Source organism: Homo sapiens, chromosome 4 (genome assembly GCF_000001405.40).
Source record: "Homo sapiens chromosome 4, GRCh38.p14 Primary Assembly".
Lineage (NCBI taxonomy): Eukaryota > Metazoa > Chordata > Mammalia > Primates > Hominidae > Homo > Homo sapiens.
The window spans coordinates 184,157,261-184,176,262 of record NC_000004.12 but is presented as its reverse complement, the minus strand read 5'-3'; the positions used below and the strand labels follow the sequence as shown (position 1 = coordinate 184,176,262).

The 19,002-nt window shown below is 44.7% G+C and overlaps 1 protein-coding gene across 1 annotated transcript in view, besides 4 other annotated features; it reads left to right on the top strand.

Annotated features, from left to right (window-relative positions):
- The window catches only part of ENPP6 (ectonucleotide pyrophosphatase/phosphodiesterase 6), a 129,168-nt gene that overhangs the window by 41,611 nt on the left and 68,555 nt on the right, over nt 1-19,002 (top strand). The gene's annotated exons all lie outside the window — the stretch shown is intronic.
- Nucleotides 5,018-5,519: an enhancer, noted in NCBI's record as "H3K4me1 hESC enhancer chr4:185091897-185092398 (GRCh37/hg19 assembly coordinates)". NCBI's record gives its function as "activates a minimal SCP1, AML or CMV promoter by ChIP-STARR-seq in primed H9 embryonic stem cells {active_cell/tissue: H9 hESC(primed)}" and the evidence as "EXISTENCE:reporter gene assay evidence [ECO:0000049][PMID:30033119]".
- Nucleotides 7,380-7,429: an enhancer, noted in NCBI's record as "active region_22189". NCBI's record gives its function as "activates an Ori minimal core promoter by ATAC-STARR-seq in GM12878 lymphoblastoid cells {active_cell/tissue: GM12878}" and the evidence as "EXISTENCE:reporter gene assay evidence [ECO:0000049][PMID:35858748]".
- Nucleotides 7,570-7,619: an enhancer, noted in NCBI's record as "active region_22188". NCBI's record gives its function as "activates an Ori minimal core promoter by ATAC-STARR-seq in GM12878 lymphoblastoid cells {active_cell/tissue: GM12878}" and the evidence as "EXISTENCE:reporter gene assay evidence [ECO:0000049][PMID:35858748]".
- Nucleotides 8,080-8,851: an enhancer, noted in NCBI's record as "OCT4-NANOG hESC enhancer chr4:185088565-185089336 (GRCh37/hg19 assembly coordinates)". NCBI's record gives its function as "activates a minimal SCP1, AML or CMV promoter by ChIP-STARR-seq in naive and primed H9 embryonic stem cells {active_cell/tissue: H9 hESC(naive and primed)}" and the evidence as "EXISTENCE:reporter gene assay evidence [ECO:0000049][PMID:30033119]".

Genomic DNA, 19,002 nt, shown 5'->3' with positions numbered 1-19,002 from the left:
GATGAAGACGATGCTTGGAGAGGCCTTGATCTGTTGGCCAAAGGTGCTGCTTCTGAAGTTGGATTCCTAGCTCTACCACTTACCAACTACAAGACCTTGGGATATTGACTCAACCACTCCAACTCTCCGTTCAGTGGCAATAATAATGACACACAGCTTTTAAGATTATTTTGGGCTAGGCATGGTAGCTCACACCTGTAATCCCAGCATTTTGGGGAGGCTGAGGCAGGAGGATTGCTTGAGGCCAGGAGTGTGAGATCAGCCTGGGCAACATAGTGAGACCTCCATCTGTACAAAGAAAAAAAAAAGGATTATTTTGTACTATTTTTTACACAACACCTTTTCTCTCCTCCAACCTCCTTCTCCCTTCGTAAACACGTGCCACTTTTGTGGACATCTGACCCGGTGCACCTAGCAGGCCAAGACGTTATGTGGGGTGATGGTTCATAGCAGATCTGGCCAGGTCCTCTAATGGCCAGGCTCTCTTCTCATATGCCACACTGCTGTTTCCCTCTACCTTTGGGGTAGAATAAAGAACACGCTTGGTGTAAGTGGGACTCCTGTTTCTCAATACTCCAGAACAAGATCTCATCACAAACTTTCCAGTTGTTGATGGTATTTCCATTTGGGGAGACTGCCTAGTTTCTGGCCCACAGGTTCACAACATATAGATTTCTGTGCCTAGTGATGGCTGTGCTTCTTCCCAAAGGTGATAAAATGCCCCCACTCTGCGGTGGTAGCCCCAGACGAAGAGCTTTTCTGCCATAGAATCTGCCATGACATCAACTCATAGTGGTGTAGAAGAGAAGAGAGCAGGGAAGGTATGCTCTCTCCATTAATGAAAACAATGGCTGCCTTTCATTCAGTGATTATTATGTGATTCAGTTACATGAATTATCTGTCTAATCATCCCTCTAAGAGGGAAAAAATCATGTGATTTATGGCCCTGTACTGATTTTTAAGGGGAGCGGATCTTGGCTTGCTGAAGCAGGGAGATGTGTATGGGCTTGCTGGTTGGGAAACTGGGACTGGAAATGAGCTGAGGCCTCTACCAGAGAAGAGAGAGAAACCGAGAGTTCCGGGCGGCGGAGGAGAGGAGATGGACCTGGAGGTGAGGGAGTGAGGACACAAGGTGGGGCACTGGGCAAGGAGGGAGAGCGGGGTCAGGTCCTGGGAGCCAAGAGGAGAGACGGGGATACTACATCGAGTGGGGTCTTCCTGTCAGTGCTGAGCCCAGCGCCTTGTTAGGAATCTCACTGATGCTTTTGTGTGAGTCAATTATTTCCAGTCAGTAAATAGAAGTGAAAATTTCGGCTTCAAAGCTGTTGCAGAGTGAAAACAAGAGACAGTAAGCAGGGTTAGCAGATGCATGAATTCCATCTCCCACATTTTAAGATAAAGAAACTGGGAGTCCCCAAGGTGGCCATTGGGTCATTGAAGTTTGGTGCGGGCTTCCACTGACTTTCAGGCTTGTATATTTACACACTTTGCTAAATCGTGCAACGTCTCTGAACATGGGCCATCAAACTCAAGTACACAGACCTTATTTAGAAGTAATATCGTAAGATACTTTTGGGGTACAAATTAGACGTAGATTAGTTCCAATCCTGGTTCTGACACATACTGGCAGGGTACATTTGGAGAGTTTACTTCACCTGTCTGAGTCTCGGTTTTCCCTTAGGTAAAACATCTGCTTCAGAAGGTCAATGGGAGGATACCATGAGGTCATTCTGGAACCCTCACAGCACAGTGCTCACAGAGAGTAGATGTTTCCATTCTTACAAGGCTGTCATTGGTTATTGTTACATATGTTGCAGGTGATAGTATCTTGTCTATTTCACTAGCCTGGCATGGGATTAAAGCACCAAGATCTCATCTCTCCTTCTGTCATTGATTGGTTGGTTCACTGATGCCCCCACTTATTTCAAAAAAAAACTATACTACTAAAAATACAAAAATTAGCCAGGCGTGGTGGCGGGCACCTGTAATCCCAGCTACTTGGGAGGCTGAGGCAGGAAAATCACTTGAACCTGGGAGGCAGAGGTTGCAGTGAGCCGAGATCGCACCACTGCTCTCCAGCCTCGGTGACAGAGTGAGATTCCGTCTCGGAAAAAAAAAAAAAAAAAAGGATTTGGGACCTCTTCTAAGAGCTTGCTTTTTCACTATTTAGTAAAGCTGTGGCATCGGATCGTGCCTCTTCCGGCCTCATTTCTTCTCATTTCTAACTCAGTTAGCATTTCTCTAGAGTCTGAGACCCTCTCATCTCTTTCCTTCAGAGTTGTGGGAATTACGATCTGCAGTGTTCCCAGATGTGACCCACCAGGTGTCCCCCCGGGATGGATCTCCCACCCACCTCCTCACTCACTGTGGATCTGACCTGGCACTTCCACACTCAGCCTGTGGTGACGTGTTTCATTCTTCTCTTATGCCCAGGGCTGCATTGTAAAGCCCTTATGCACTAGAATCATGCCCTCCTATTCTCCGTACCTAACCTGTGCCTGGAAAACAACAGATACTCCAGAAATGGGTGGGTGTTTTAACCAGAATATCTCTAAGACCCTTTCAACTTGGACTCTGTAATTTGAAAGTAAGATTCCCACAGTGACCCTGCCAACACCTAAATGGAAAGACTATTTTCTCTTTCCTCAGACACTTTCAGACACTTCAAATTTAGCCACTTGGCTCTTTTGGGAGAATAGTAAACCCCAGAGCAAAATTCTGGGCACCAGCTACAAGTAGGCAAAAAATTTATTTCACAAAAACATTGCCCTTAGACCTTCTTGGTCGTCGAATTCAACCTTCTGCCTCAAGTAATTGTACCTGAACTACCTTAGAAAGATTGGAAAATGGAAACTTGCACCATTTATAATAGGTCAGGAATGAAGGGGGCAGAATTTAATACATCGTTTGTGTTTGGTTTTATGTTCAGATTGTTTCCAATATTGTGTTGAACATCCACATTCATGAATCCCACCTTTGATTTCTTTCTTTTGTTAGACTTCTTGAAGTGGAGTTACTGGGTCCAAGGCTCCAATGAACACTTTTAAAACCCTCGATAGGCCGGGCGCGGTGGTCCATGCCTGTAATCCCAGCACTTTGGGAGGCTGAGGGGGGTGGATCATTTGAGGTCAGGAGTTCGAGACAGCCTGGCCAACATGGTGGAACCCCGTCTCTACTAAAAATACAAAAAAATTAGCTGGGCATGGTGACGGGCGCCTGTAGACCCAGCCACTCAGGAGGCTGAGGCAGAGAATTGCTTGAACCCTGGTGGCGGAGGTTGTAGTTGGCGCTACTGCACTCCAGCCTGGGAGACAGAGAGAGACTTCATCTCAATTAAAACACACAAACAAACAAACAAAAAACACTGGATAAATATCGTTCTGTTGCTCCTCCCACAGACGGTGAACGAATGTACATTTCCTCTCGCTGGTATGCACGCCACTCAGGAACTATTTATTTTTGTACATCACAATTTAAAAAGCCAAGAAAAGTGAGATTGCATTACTTTCCACTTTCATCATTTTGACTACATCAAACCCTTTAAAGTCATATTACTTTTTATAAGCCTTCTGTGGGCCTTAAACTGAAATGGAGAAGATGCAGAAAAAAACCCACATTAGTCATTACAAATTGGAACCCAGCCACCGTTCACTGCGCCCACTGCTCACTCCGGTCCAGGCCGCCTTATGTCCTCCCAAGTCACCCTGCTTCCATCCTGACCTGCTCAGTTCATCCCCTATGGCTGCCAGCATTACCCTTCAGACCGCATGGGAGGGGCTGGAGCTGTTTTCTGCCAAAGTCACCTCAACCTGAAGTCACTGGGGGAGAGGAGCGTAGCTGGGTGCTGGGGGATGATGGAGGCTTGACTGCTAGCTAGAGGGTGGAGGCTCTTCAGGAGGCAGGTGTTGGCTGAATTTCTCTCCTGCGTGGAAGACTGAGGGTGAGAAATAAGATTTCCCCTTCAAACACCTCCCATCCTGAGAAGTCCCTAGAGGCACCTTTCTATAAGGAAGACCCGCCTGCATTTTCCATTATGCCTCGAGTAAAATCTAAATCCTCCCAACAATGCGCCACATCACTGGGCTCTACCTTTTTCTGCGACACCAGCTCCCCCATTGCCCACACTTCTTCCTTCCCACCCTCTCGCCCTGGATGCTCTTTGTTACACCGGGTTTCCCATGGCTGTGTCCTCGTCATTATTTCCGCCACCACTCAAGCGTCATCTCACCACCCCCTCCAAACCCTCCCGGCCGCCTAGCCAATGCTGCACCTCCCTCGCACACTCTCCACTTACTTCCAGTGCTGACTGCACCTCACTTCCTGAGACTGTCCTGTCTTTCAGCTTACATGTTCATGATCTGTCTTCTCCCGCCCGCGAGCAAGATTCCTGAGGACAGGGATTCTGTCCGTCTTCTTCTCTGCTCTATCTCAGCATCTCGAATCGTGCCGGATACACTGGGGTTTAAAAAAAAAAATCAATGTGTTTGTAACTAACAAATTATGTGAACACACAAGTTTTTAAATAACTAACTATATCAATATGTCTATTTATTCTATCAAGGCAAGAAGTGGAGCTAAACTACAGCCATGGTCTTGGAATAGTTTCTTCTTTAAATGGCTTAGACAAAGCTGTGACAAATGTATGTCAACTGTGATGTGTCTGGCTCGTGACACCGCTTAATTATTTGAATTTGTTTTCTCATGGTGGCAGATCATATTTTCCAAGAAAGCTGCCGTAACAAATCCCATTCTACTTGTTCTTCTTATATTGTGACATTGACATTCCCCCATCAAGTGGTGTCCCCTCTTTTTGAACCTGAGTGGACCTTTGTGACAGCTTTGACCAACAGATGCAGGAGAAGTGATGCTATGTAACTTCTGGATCTGGGTCACAATCAATGCCAAGCCTGTTCTCTTTGCTCTCTTGGGGTGCTCATGCCTGGAGCATGGTCACCATGCTGTAAGGATGCCAGGTGGCCATATGGAGAGGCCACAGGTGGATGCAGCTGCTGACAACCCAGCTAAGGTCTCAGCCAGCAGCCAGCATCAACTGCCTGCAGATCCTTCCAGCCCTCTGGTGTCAGGTTACCCCAGCCTCTGAGCTGCCCTTGCTGGTGCTGCGTCCAGCAGAGAGGAGCTTTCCCTTCCATGCTCCATCCAGACTGCATATTTGTGAGCTGAATACATGACTATTGTTTAAGCCACTTGAGGTTTGAGGTTGTCAGTTACACCAAAACAGATAACTGATCCACCCCCTCACTTCAATGTAAGGGGTATACAGTCCAAATAGACACGCCTAAAAGAACCTGCCTGTTTCAGAGAACACTTCTACTGGGAAGGGATTTTGTGACTAAAAGGAACAGATGTAGGTGATGATTATCGGTGGTTGCTAAAACCATTACATGCAGGTTGATAGGAACCTTGACAGTGGATAGATTAGGCTGACACCATCTAAACCCACCAATCCACTTTAACAGACACCACGAGCCACATGGCGTGACGCGAGAGCAAGTACATGGCACCACGTGCAGTGGATTCTTGCCTAAGACACATGGAACCTGAATCTAAGACCTGTAGATCAAACTAGGAGTCTGCAAGAAATACAGGAGACTAAGGAACATGCTAATGGCACCACGAGGATACAATCAGCCTAATCCAGAATATGGGATGTTTTCAGACAGATGACCCAGTTCCCTCCATAAATAAATAGACAAGAATTAATAAAATGGAGGCGAACCATTATCAGTTAAAAGACACTCAAGAAACATAAATAAAATGCATGGGTTTTGTTTGAATGCTGATTCTTTTTTTTTTTTTCCTTCTTTTCTTTTTTGAGACAGAGTCTCACTCTGTCACTCAGGCTGGAGTGCAGTGGTGCAATCTCGGCTCACCACAACCTTCAACTCCCTGGCTCAAGTGATTCTCCTGCCTCAGCCTCCTGAGCAGCTAGTACTACAGGTGCACACCACCACACACAGCTAATTTTTGTATTTCTTGTAGAGACAGGGTTTCACCATGTTGCCCAGTATGGTCTCAAACTCCTGGGCTCCAGAGATCTGCCAGCCTTGGCCTCCCAAAGTGCTGGGATTACAGGCGTGAGCCACCTTTCCCGGCCTGAATGCTGATTCAAATAAACGAATTTCACAGAGGCATTTTAAAGATAATTATGGAAAACTCAATATGGACTGGGTATTGAATGATATTAAATAGTTATATTCATTTTGTTGGGTGTGATAACAAGAGTATGTTTTTTTAAAAGTACCTCAGTACTAGAGACAGGCACAGAAGTATTTATGACTTCAGATGGGATGTCTGGTATTTGCTTTAAAAATATTCCAGTGTGGGGAGGAAGACACAGGAAACCAGGGCGGAGCACTGTCCCGTGTTATCACACTGTTTTGTGCATTCGAATATTTTCATCATAGATAATTTTTAAACTAAATGTAAGCTCTTCGTGAGAGGTAAACGTAGGTAGTCATCACTTTTAACACAAAGTCGCTTGTGAGATTTGCCACCGGTGATTGGCCTTGGAGAAAGGGGCAAAGTCAGGCAGCTAAGGCCCAGTACTCAGAAGCCTCAACTGCGGCCTAGAGCCTTCATCTATAGTGGCTCTCAACTGGTGCCCTCCACAGCCAGGACCCTGCCCAGGAGCTGTGAGCTCAGAGGAGGAGGGCAAGGTGGCCAGAAACGTGATGACGGCAGAGAGAGGAGCCAGGGACAGGCAAAGGAAGCAAGTGACAGAAATCCCAGGCCTGCTGCTCCAGGCAGAGAGAGGGCTGCTGGCTCCTGCAAAAAGAAGCAGGGGTGAGGCAGGAGCCAGGAGAGCAGAACTCACCCTCCCCTGCTGCCCTCCCCGCGGCCCTGGCTGTAGCCCCAGCGTCTCTTCCTGGGGCCATGTCTTCACATGGGGACATTTCTTCCCAGCTCGGCCACCGAGAGGAATGGATTCCTCCAGCATGAAGAATCCTCCCGCCCAGCCTGGATCCTGGAGCCACGGTCACTGTGGCAGGAATGCGGCTCCTCGCTGGCCTGGCTAGGGCTGGATGCCACACTTTGCCCTCTCCCCAGAGCCAGAGAGGTTGGGTCACAGACGCTCCTGAATGGGCCATGCAGGGCGCAGGAGGAATTTCGCCTTTGGAGGAACAAAGGGGTGTTCAAAGTTAAACGTCCACTGCAGTGACCATTACAAATTGTGGTTTAAAAAAATCATAAACTCAACCAAAAGAGGAACTAAGAGAAGGAGGGAAAGAAAGGGCTGGGGTCAAGAATAATAAAATCCCAAATAAGAAGCACATATCCTAAAAGGGAAAATGAAACACAACAAGGGTTAGGAGGGTGGGGTGGGGGAATGAGGAAGCGGGGGGCACAGCACGAGACTCCCAGCCAGGACAGCCCAGGCAAGGCCCCGGCTCCAGGTTCAAGGCCCCGAGGCTCGCGTTTGCTGCAGCGCGTGGCCGCCTGCCCGCCGGCCCTGCCCGGGCTCTGCCTACATTCTCGGCATCTTCAGCACAGTCACAAGCAGCTGTCAGATTCCTGCGAATCCTGGGGGTGGCCTTCAAACCGGGAGAAGCAAACCCAGAATTCAAGGCTGGCCCAGCCTGGCGCCTCTCGGCGGACTACGGGGACGGCTGCGGGCGGTGGTGAAGACCGCAGCCGCCAGCAGAGGGCAGTGGCGGGCCAGCGTGGCCAGGCTCAGAGGGCTCGCTCCTTGCTGTCCGGAGCCCCGCGGGCAGTGTCTGCCTGTAACTTTCACCCCCGTGCAAAGCTTCCAGCTTCCTGTGCAAGGCAGATGCAACGTGGTGCTGCTTTTCTTTTCGTCAAGGGGATTTGAGACTTTTCCTCTGCAAATGGTCTGTAGATATCAAGTAAGAAATGGACTGTCCGGCCCCATCCCTCCCTAGAAGAGGATTTTTCAAAGTGCCATTTTTAAAAGTGGCCTTTTAAAAGGCCCATTTGATAGGATTGGCCTTTTCCGCGCCAGACATCGTGCGGAAGACATCGTGCCAAAGCTTTCCCTACCTGAAACCACTTAACTCTGAAAAAAGGTATGATTATCTCCATTTTTCAGAGGAGGAAACTGAGGATCAATAAAGTGGAATGAGTCGTGTGAGGTGGCTGGGATGGGATTTGAACTCTGGTTTGCTGGGCTCCAAAATTCCTTCCACTTAGGCCACATGGTTTTCACAGGTCCTCAGTTCCTGCCAGTTCTCATCCTACCTGTTCCTTCTGTTTTTAACTCAAAAATCTCCCCTATTCCCGTGGAGTCTACCGCTTGGACTGGGAAACTATCAGAAGGATGCAGCCCCCTTGAGTTGCTCTTTGATCCCTAAAGCAGATTATCTGTCAACAGCTTTTATGCAAAGAGCACCCAAGGAGGATTATAGACGTGAATCACTGAATGAGACCCAGTGTCTGCTCCCAGCACCATCTGTTGATATGCAGATCACCGGTGATCATTGATCAGGACAAACCAGCTGCGGCTGCTGTGAAGTTAACTCCTGAGACTTGAGAGGCTGCTCTCACTTCTCTATGGGCGCACCTGGCCCGAGGCCGTGAACTTGGGCAGGCCAGCATCATACCTACGTCACATATTCTAGCAATGACAAACAAAACTAACCAAGCTAGCAAAAATGAGCTTGCTTCCACTTGTTTCTTTCCCCCCAAAAAAGCGGGCGGGGGATGGTTGACTGATGGGTTCGTACTTGATTGAGCTGGTAACGTCCCTGATTAGTTCACACTCCTTAAGAGCTGGGTTCCATCATTCTCTATCAATTCCCGGCATTAAAAGTTGATCCACTAATATTCTGGTAACTAGTCTCTTCTGTTTGAAATCATCACTCATTGGCCATTCTAAGTTCTACTCCAGTTGAAAAGCTTGATCCCACTTTGGGAGGCCAAGGGGGGCGGATCACCTGAAGTCAGTAGTTTGAGACCAGCCTGGCCAACATGGTGAAAGCTGTCTCTACTAAAACTACAAAAATTAGCCGGGCATGGTGGTGGATGCCTGTAATCTCAACTACTCGGGAGACTGAGGCAGGAGAATAGCTTGAACCCAGGAGAAGGAGGTTGCAGTGAGCCGAGATCGCACCACTGCACTCCAGCCTGGGCACCAGAGTGAGACTCTGTCTCAAAAAATAAAGAAAGAAAAGCTATCCTAAATGTGCTTTTTTTTACTGAGTTAAATTTCCTATCCTTACCTCCCAACCCCTGCCCCAGGCACAGGTGGGGCAGCTGCGGGATGAGTGCAGTGTCTCTGCCCATGGCATGAGGAGAATTTCTGTCCTGGGTCAAGACACGGAAAGAGACATAAAAGGGGTACTCCCACCACCTGCAGGCGGAGCCTGGTTTTTGCCAAAGTAGCCACCTACTAGTGTGAGGAACGCAGCCAACCTGGTCACTGGGGAGAGGAGGGAGCACAGTGGGTGGGAAAAGGAAGCTTTATCACGAGCCAGAAGACGGAGGTGCTTCAGGATGGAGATGTTGGCTGACTTTCCTGTATGGAGGTAGACATGCCCCAAGTAAGAAGCTCCTCCCTCCAAATATCATCTACCATCTTTTGAGAAGCCTCTGTAAGAACTCAATAAAATGGGAGTGTGCCTCAAAAGAGATTTCATTTTCAATGCAGTAATTAATTATTGCTCTTTTCCAACTTTGCACAGCGGTGAAGATGAATTGGATTGTCAGGAAATTTCTTTGAGCTTTGTTAAAAATTAGCTTTCTAAAAGTAAAAAGTGTTTAAGTCAAAACTTCAGGGCTCACATTTTTGTCCTTATGCAGGAAAATTATTTTTGTTTCCTTTTCTGTATTCTGCTTGTTAAATAATTGCACCAAGCTGGCAGGCGCTGCAGAAACATAAAGCAATGCATTTATTTTTAAGTCCAATGACCTCAAAACAATGAGTGTGAATGTTCCTAATCAAAGATGTCTCCTCTTTTGGGGTTATTTTTGTTGCAGTCCCTACACTTCACACTATAATCAAAGCCCATTATCTCAGCCTTACAATATTTGTGTCTCAGAATCTAACGATGACTGTGTCTGGCACATACATCAGGAGTTGCTTTTAAAGATGTGCAAATTGTGAGCTTTGCTTTCACCTCAATCTTGCATATTTCATTGGAAACCACTTCTTTAACATCCAAAGTGTGTCTTTGAACACATTAAAAAAATAAAATGGATTTCCCAACAGAGGTTATCTGCAAGGCAAATTTCAATTTTTAAGTTAGTTACTTTGAGCAATGCATTGTTAATTCTTTCAAGTCTCTTGGGTATAAAGTAGTTATATGAAAGTTCACTAATCTAAGCAGGGTCTAAACTAATCTTTACACCTCCAAATGCTCAAGGAAAAGTACTAAGGGGAACCTACTAGTGGGAATATCTGACTTATTTAACATTTTCTGGCTGCTTGGCTCTGAATCGAATATATAAAGTTGCTTCTTGTAACCATGTCAATTTGAGATAGTATGTGTACGTTCAGTCTCTAAAATGTATCCATTATCTTGAGACCCCTGATTTCAGAACTTTGGGAGCCTCTCTTTCCACAGCTGGCTTCTTTCCAGAGGAAGAGGAAGCTTAACATTACCATCTCCTTTGTTGATATCCCTAGTCTGAGAATATTCCTCCTTAGAGGTATTTACAGTAAACTTTGATGCATAATAGTTGATTGCAAGAGATAAGAGAATGTCTGGCATTCCAGAGATCTGTGCGTCTCCATGTGGTTACTTTGCTGAGAGTCTCAGAATCAGGCCTGACTTACGAGTTCATTTGTATTAAAACGGCAAGCCCTGGTGAACTGATGAGGCTACACCGTGGCTGGAGGGGAGCAGGTGCTGGTGCGGGGGAGGGCGGACGCTGAGTCAGAGACCTGGTTGGGACTGGGGTTCTGCCCTCTTCCTAGCTGTGCGGCTCCAGCCTCCTCACTCAGCCACTTTGAATCTTAGTTCTTAAGCATCAGCAAAATGGAGGTAATATTCTCCATCTCCTAGAGTTATGTGGAAGACTGAGATGCAAATGTAAAGCATTTAGTTCCAGATACAAAGGAGTTGGCCAAGGACTGGGAACTATTATAATTAAACTGATCAGTAAGTGTCCAGAAAATCGATTTCTGCCTTTGGCCCTAGGTTATGAGCTTCACCCCTCCAGAGTCCCAGGTAAAGCGCTTCCTCAGTGGGCTCAGCCCCAAGACCTTCCACCTGGACTGACGTGTTCCTCTGAATGCATCCTGTCCTTGAGGGTGGAGGCTTCACAGAGTGCATGATAGCAAGTGTAACACCAGCAGCTTCCTTCTCCTGTGGGCTTCCTGAGTGCTGGGAATCGCGTGGAGTGCTGGTTCATTCTGGTTGCACAAGTGTTAGTAGATTGCAGTGGTGAAGAGCTGAGCCTCGGGATCCAGGCTGCCTGATTTAAATCCTGGCTCCAGTATACCTGGTGGTGTAAGACTTCAGGCAACTCACCTTCTCTGCCCCTCAGTTACTTTACCTGGAAAGCGGGGCTAACAATAGTACTTATCCCTTAGGGCCACGGTGAGGACGAAATGTGGAATTCCTTTCCTAGGCCTGCTGTAACGAAGTACCACAAGTTTGGGTGGCTTAGAGAAACAGAAATGTGTTGTCTTTTAGTTCCGGAGGTCAGAAGTCAGAAATTAAGGTGTGGATGGGGCGTGCTCCCTCTGAAAATTCCTTGGTTCTTTAGCTTCTCGTAGCCCCAGGTGTTGTCTGGTTTACAGAGCCATCTCTCCCTCTCCAAACATCATCTTCCCTGGGGGCAGGTCAGTCTCTCTGTCCACATTTCCCGTTTTTATAAGGACACCAGAAATGTGGGATTAGGGCCCACCCTAAGAACTTCATTTTAACTTGATGCCATCTGTAAAGACCCAATTTCCAAACAGGGTCACATGCTGAGGTACCTGGGGTGAGGATTTCAACACATGTTTTTGGGGAAACACAATTCAATCCATAAGAGATGCCCTTAGAACACTACCTACAATATAGCAAGCGTCACTTGTGCATGGACCATTTTTATCTTTAATGCTCGTTGCAATCTAGCCCGGAGAGTATCATGAATCCCATTTTAGAGAGAGAAAAAGTGAGGCTTTGAGAAGCTGAAGATTAGACTCAATTGCCACAGCTAGAAAGTGAGAAGACCCTGACCCAAACTCCTCTGTCATCTCTCCACTGTAGCCACCATCTCCCAGAGGCGAACAGGACGCCCACAGCCCAGGTCCCTGTGCTGTCACACGTTGTTATAACCCAGGCTTCCAGCGGGTGGCCCCAGAGGCCTGCCTGCAACTCTGGACTCGGCGCTCCATTGAATGCTGCCTCTGGGCAAAAACCTGTAGGTTAGAAAAGAACGATTTCCAAGATCCTTCTTAGTGTATGGTAAGCCTCACTTATATCCCCACGTTTTGACTAAATTGATGTGCCTCAAATGTAACCCCATGTCTCCCTTTTCTGCCAGCTGTTTTGATCTCTGGTAGACACAACCACTGTCGCCTGACGGAAACACACATAGGCCTCAGAGAAATAAAATGAATGCCTTAAAAATTAAAGATTACTATCACTTTCTAAAGGTGGTTATACACCGGAATTAAGAAAGCGTTCATGCAATTGAGGAATTCCTCATCAGCTGTAGAACCTGATTGTTCAGCGATATAACCAGCTATGCAGTTGTTTTTCTGCATATATGTTTGGACACGTGAATACAATGTTGTGTTTTTTTTTAAACCGAGAGCTTTCACCTTGAAATCAGCATATGTTTCATATTCCAGAGTCCAACTGTAACCATAAATCTGTTATTGTCATGGAAAGTGAAGTGTGAAGAGTGTGATATGAGAAGCCGGGAGGTCCAGGTTCAGGTCACCCTCGTTCCCTTTACTTCTTCACCCCACCCACTACTTATTGGAATTGTGGCCTTGAGCACACACTCAAGCCTTTTACCCCCAATATATACAAAGGGCAGGGAGTTATTCCTCACCTCTGAAATTGCAGGGAGGGTATTAGACTAGGAGGCCGCCTGAGGTCCCTTCCATTCCTGAGAATGTGTGATACCATCAAAGCTCACAAGTACTTGTTCAGGGGACTCTCAGCTTGTGTGGTCTCTGATGTTTAGTGCAAGATCCTTGCCCAAGTGATCGACATGATTTTCTCAAAAAATCCACGTCTTAGGATTTTCCCTGGCCCTTGCACTGGAGAGCCTCTGTTTGCCTGTCTGCCCTCCTCTGGTTTCTCCAGCCTGCCTTGAGCCTCAGCAGGTGACCTTGAGGGATGGCCTCTAGGACAGTGGCTGGAGAGGCAGGTCCACTTGCTATTCACCACTCGGGGAGCGGAGTGGGTGGGTGGTAATGGCACGCTGCTGCCATTCCTCCTGGGTTGCTTCTTCATGCCATTGGCTCCCCTCAGCCCAGCCCACACCTTTGTAAAACCCCTGAATTAAACTCTGTGCAGCCTGTTTATTGCCAGGGCCTTGAGTGAGTCCAGCTGTGACCATCTCGAATTGTGCTAGCCCCGCATCTAGCACATCAGTAAGAGCATCTCACCTTTCAAAGAAGGTGAACTCTGAGTGTGGGGAATAGCAAAATGCCACATTTTACTGGCATGAGGACTATCCTAATTCCTACTTCAATAGGAAGCCCTCTGTCTTGGCTCATTCCCCTCCAGTCATTCATTCCCTCCCTCCCTCTCTTCCTTCCTTTCTTCCTTCCTTCCTTCTTTCCTTCCTTCTTCCCTCCCTCCCTTTCCTTCCTTTCTTCCTTCTTTCCTTCTTTCAAAAGTAGAAATAACTTAGGCTTCAAAATAGGCTTCCAAAGTTGAAATAACTTACTCTCCCATTTAATAGATTATTGAAGTTGTCTTTGTAGAAAAAGCAAACTTTCACATATTCATTCAAGTACTCAGGAAGATCAGGGTGATGAGAGCATTATCCAACAATAGTCATGCATTTGAAGTTTCTTCCTTCCTTTCTTCTTTCCTTCCTTCCCCCCTTTTTTCCAGCACCCTATGAGCCTGCAAATATAAGTTGAACAAGAACACTGGAGGGCTGAACTGCTTTTGAGAAAACTTTGAAGTTTGGAGAGAAATTTTGGAGGGGGTTGCTGTGGAGCAGAAAATAGGGAAGCAATGAGACAGTGAGATGCGCAGGCTGGGTCCTTGAGAGTGGTGGCCAGGAAAAAACCATGCGGGGAGGGGGGCAGTTGTTGCTGGAAAGACTGGGGATACCTTGGATGCCTTTTTTCTTATTATTTCAATAGGTTTTGGGGAACAGGTGGGTTTGGTTACATAAGTAAGTTCTTTAGTGGTGATTTCTGAGATTTTGGTACACCCATCACCCAAGCAGTGTACACTGTACCCAATGTTTAGTCTTTTGTCCCTCACCCCCTCCCACCCTTTCCCCCAAGTCCCCAAAGTCCATTACATCTTTCTTATGCCTTTGCATCCTCATAGATTAGTTCCCTCTTATGAGTGAGAATATACAATGTTTGGTTTTCCATTTCTGAGTTACTTCACTTAGAATAATGGTCTCTAATTCTATCCAGGTTGCTGTGAATGCCATTATTTCATTCCTTTTCACGGCTGAGTAGTATTCCATGGTATATATATATACCACATTTTCTTTATCCACTCATTGATTAATGAGCATTTGGGCTGATTCCCTATTTTTGCAATTATGAATTGTGCTGCTATAAACATGTATATGCCAGTATCTTTTTCATATAATGACCTCTTTTCCTCTGGGTAGATACCCAGGAGTGGGATGGCTGGATTGAATGGTAGTTCTACTTTTAGTTCTTAAGGAACCTCCACACTTTTCCACAGTGGCTGTACTAGTTTACATTCCCACCAACAGTGTAAAAGTGTTCCATTTTCACCACTTCCATGCCAATATCTATTATTTTTTGATTATAGCCATTCTTGCAGGAGTAAGGTGGTATTGCATTGTAGTTTTGATTTCCATTTCCCCGATAATTAGTGTTGTTGAGCATTTTTTCATGTGTTTGCTGGTCATTTGTATATCTTCTTTTGAGAATTGTCTATTCATGTCCTTAGCCCAGTTTTTCATGGGATTTTTTTTTCTTGCTGATTTGTTTGAGTTCCTTGTAGATTCTGGTCATCAGTCCTTTGTTGGATGTATAGATTGAGAAGATTTTCTCCCAGTCTGTGGGTTGTCTGTTTACTCTGCCATTTCCTTTGCTGTGCAGAAGCTTTTTAGTTTAATTAAGTCCCATCTATTTATTTTTGTTTTTGTTGTGTTTGTTTTTGTGTTCTCTGTCATGAAGAGATGTTGAATGTCTAATGTTCAGTTGGAAGTTCTTTGCATTGCCCTCAATATTCCCCTCCTCTCCAGACTGAATCCCCAATAAAATTCACCCAACTCATGAATATTTCATGTGAGGAGGTTCCTTTTTGTCATATAGGAGCAGGCTGAGCTACATTTCTAGACAACATATGTCCTGGAAGCAGGAGTATGGAGGTAGAGATGCCTGCAGTTATGTGCATCTCCTGGGGACTTGTGAGAATCTTGGTGGAAGTAGGATTGGAACCAGTCATACGGAGAGCTCAAGAGAGAGAGAGCTCCAGCTGATCTCTAGATTGCATTCATTTGTGTGACTCTCCCCCAATACTCATAGTAATATAAGTTAATATTAACAGTGCTCACTATGTGCTATGTATATGTGCATGTACACATATGTGCATGCACACACACTCTCTGCTTTGCACAATTCAGATATGCGCAAAACTGAATTACCACAGATTAAATAACGTCTGTTCTCCAAATAATCCCATCAAAAAATGGGCAAAAGTCATGAGTAGACAATTCTCAAAAGATGATATACAAACAGCCAACAAACATATGAAAAAATGCTCAATGTCACTATTAGGGAAATACAAATCAAAACCACAATGCAATACCACCTTACTCCTGCAAGAATGGTTATAATTAAAAAGTAAAAAAATGATATATGTTTGTTGGATGTGGTGAAAAGAGAACATTTTTACACTGCTGGTGAGAATGTAAACCAGTACAACCACTATTGAAAACAGTATGGAGATTCCTTAAAGAACTAAAAGTACAACTACCATTTGATCCAGTAATACCACTGCTATGTATCTACCCAAAGGAAAAGAAGTCATTATATAAAAAAGACACTTGCACATGCATGTTTATAACAGCACAATTCATAATTGCAAAAATATGGAACCAACCTAAGTGCCCATCAGTCAATGAGTGGATAAAGAAAATGTGGTATATATACACCATGGAATACTATTCAACCATAAAAAGGAATGAAATAATGTCTTTAGCAGCAACTTGGATGCAACTGGAGGTCATAATTCTAAGTGAAATAACTCAGGAATGGAAAACCAAATATCGCATGTTCTCACTTATAAGTGGGAGCTAAGCTATGAGAATGCAAAGGCATAAGAATGATGTAATGGACTTTGGGGACTCATGGCAAAAGGGTGGGATGGGGGTGAGGGATAAAAGACTACACATTGGGTACAATGTACACTGCTTGATGACAGGTGCACCAGGATCTCAGAAATCACCACTAAAGAACTTATCCACACAACCAAAAACCACCTATACCACAAAATCTATTGAAATAAGATATTTAAAAAATAAAAAATAATAATGTCAGTTCTCCAACAACATGATTCAAATTTCAGTTACCACAGTATATTGACTAAAATAAATCTGGCAACCCTAATTGTAGCTACTGTAGCATAAACTATAAACTTCCTTGCTAGTCCTCAGTCCACTAGGACTATTTATCACTATGCAAATAACAAATATGCATCATGATTGTTGGTCAATCACATCACTTCTTTCATAGTCTGCTGGTGATTGGCTGCTGCTTGTCTAATATTAGCTCATGCACAGACAGCAAAGCATGCAGCTGTGTTGCCTCCCTGTGTCCCACTGATAAACCCATATAGTTCAACTTCTAATGCATTACTATTGTTGGATAATGCTCCAGGTCCCGCTGACCCTCTTGAATACTTGAAAGAATATGAGCAAATTTGCTTTTTCTATAAAAACAACTTTAATCATCTATTAAATGGGGCAATAAGTTATTGCAACTTTTGAAGCCTATTTTTTAGATGTAAGTAAGCTGTATTTCAGACAGGTTATTGATGATACAATCGGAGATAATGCAATTTATTCAGCTAAGCTTTGGAAGAACTATGACATAAAACATGTAGCCAGAAACATTCAAGCATCACGACAGATAGGAAGAGCAAGTAATATGCATGGAGGATGGCAGAAACTCTTACTGTACTGGAAAATAACTTTGCAGGATTTGAATCAAATGTAAGTGGAATTATGGAAGAGATCATTGACCATGTGAATATTGACACTGACATCATTTACAAAGCTCTAGGTATGCAGCCCAAGGACCTTAGTGATGGTGAATTTATTGACATAAATGAAGAAAAAAGTTGTGAAAAAAAGGATGCAGTTGTCCCAGAGGAAGTGACACCAGCAAAAACTTCACATTAAAGAACCCCTGGAGCTATTTTATGACATTGAAAGCACAAAGGATAAGATGTCGAAAGCCAATCTAAACTTAGAAAGAAGATAACAATTCCCTAAGGCATAGAAAAGATGTTCACTCATATTTTGTTATATCTCTAGAAGAAGAAGCCAAGCACTATTCAAAGCATTCTTCATAAATTTCTTACAAAGAGATAGTGCCCTTTAATTCTCCATGTTTCTAATACTGTAAATTATAAAATACTCATAAATTATAATTGTACACTTCTTCCTTCATTTTCCTGTATAACTGAGAGTAGGAGAATTTTCAATATTTTGACAAACATTTTTAAGTGTCACAGAACAATCCTATTCCCCCCACCCCACCCCGCTGATTATTAAGATAGCTTTTCATGGTTTTGGCTTGCACAGCCATTTTTGTGGTTCGACACTGCCATGCAAAGGGATGACTGTTCACAATAATTGTTACGATACCCATTACTCAGATGAGGCAATGGAGGCTTCAGAGAGTCTAAGCTACTTGTCCAAGATCATGCAGACAGTAATTAGTAGAGTTTATACTTGAACCTATGCAATCTGGCTCCAAGATTCGTTCCCTTAACCACTGTGCCATATTATTGTCCATAGCAGACTGTGAGCCAAAGACAGAGACCATTTCTTTTTTATCTTTATATCCTTAGCATGCAAACATTATCTAATAAATACATGTTGAGTGGATGCAAAAAGAATAAAAGAGGTAAGGAACTATAAAAGGAATTGACATTGACTGTTTGAAAACAATGAGAAAAAATTAAGACTGATTGAAATCTAAGTAGTAGCAACCTTATAGATGTCCACTGTTAAAGAGAAACTTGGCTGGGCACAGTGGCTCATGCCTGTAATTCCAGCACTTTGGGATACTGAGGCGGGTGGATCACTGGAGCCCAGGAGTTTGAGACCAACCTTGGCAACATGGCAAAACCCTGTCTCTACAAAAAATACAAAAAAAAAAAAAAAAATTAGCCAAGTTTGGTGGCGCATGCCTGTGGTCCCAGCTACTTGGGAGGCTGAGGAGGAGGCTGAACCTGGGGAGGTCAAGGTTGCAGTGAGCAATGATTGCCCCACTGCACTCCAGCCTGGGTGACAAAGTGAGATCAGGAAGAAGAAAGAGAGAAAGAGAGAGAAAAGGAAGGAAAGAAAGGAAAGGAAGGAAAAAAAGGAAAGAAAGGAAAGAAAGAGAGAAAGGAAAGAAAGGAGAGAGAGAAAGAAAGAAAAAGAAAGAGAAAAAGAGGAAAGAAAGGAAAGGAAGGAAAGAAAGGAAAGGAAGGAAAGAAAGAGAGAGAAAGAAAAGAAAGAAAGAAAAGGAAAGAAAGAAAGAAAGAAAGAGAAAGAACGAATTTATTTATGATGCTTGTTAAAGATGGTAAGGCTAACTTTCTTTAAGGAGGAACCACTGTGATAGACGGAAGGATGCTGCAGTGGGATCCAGCAGTGGGAGAGAGATTGGGCTCCACTCCAAGTACAACAGACAAG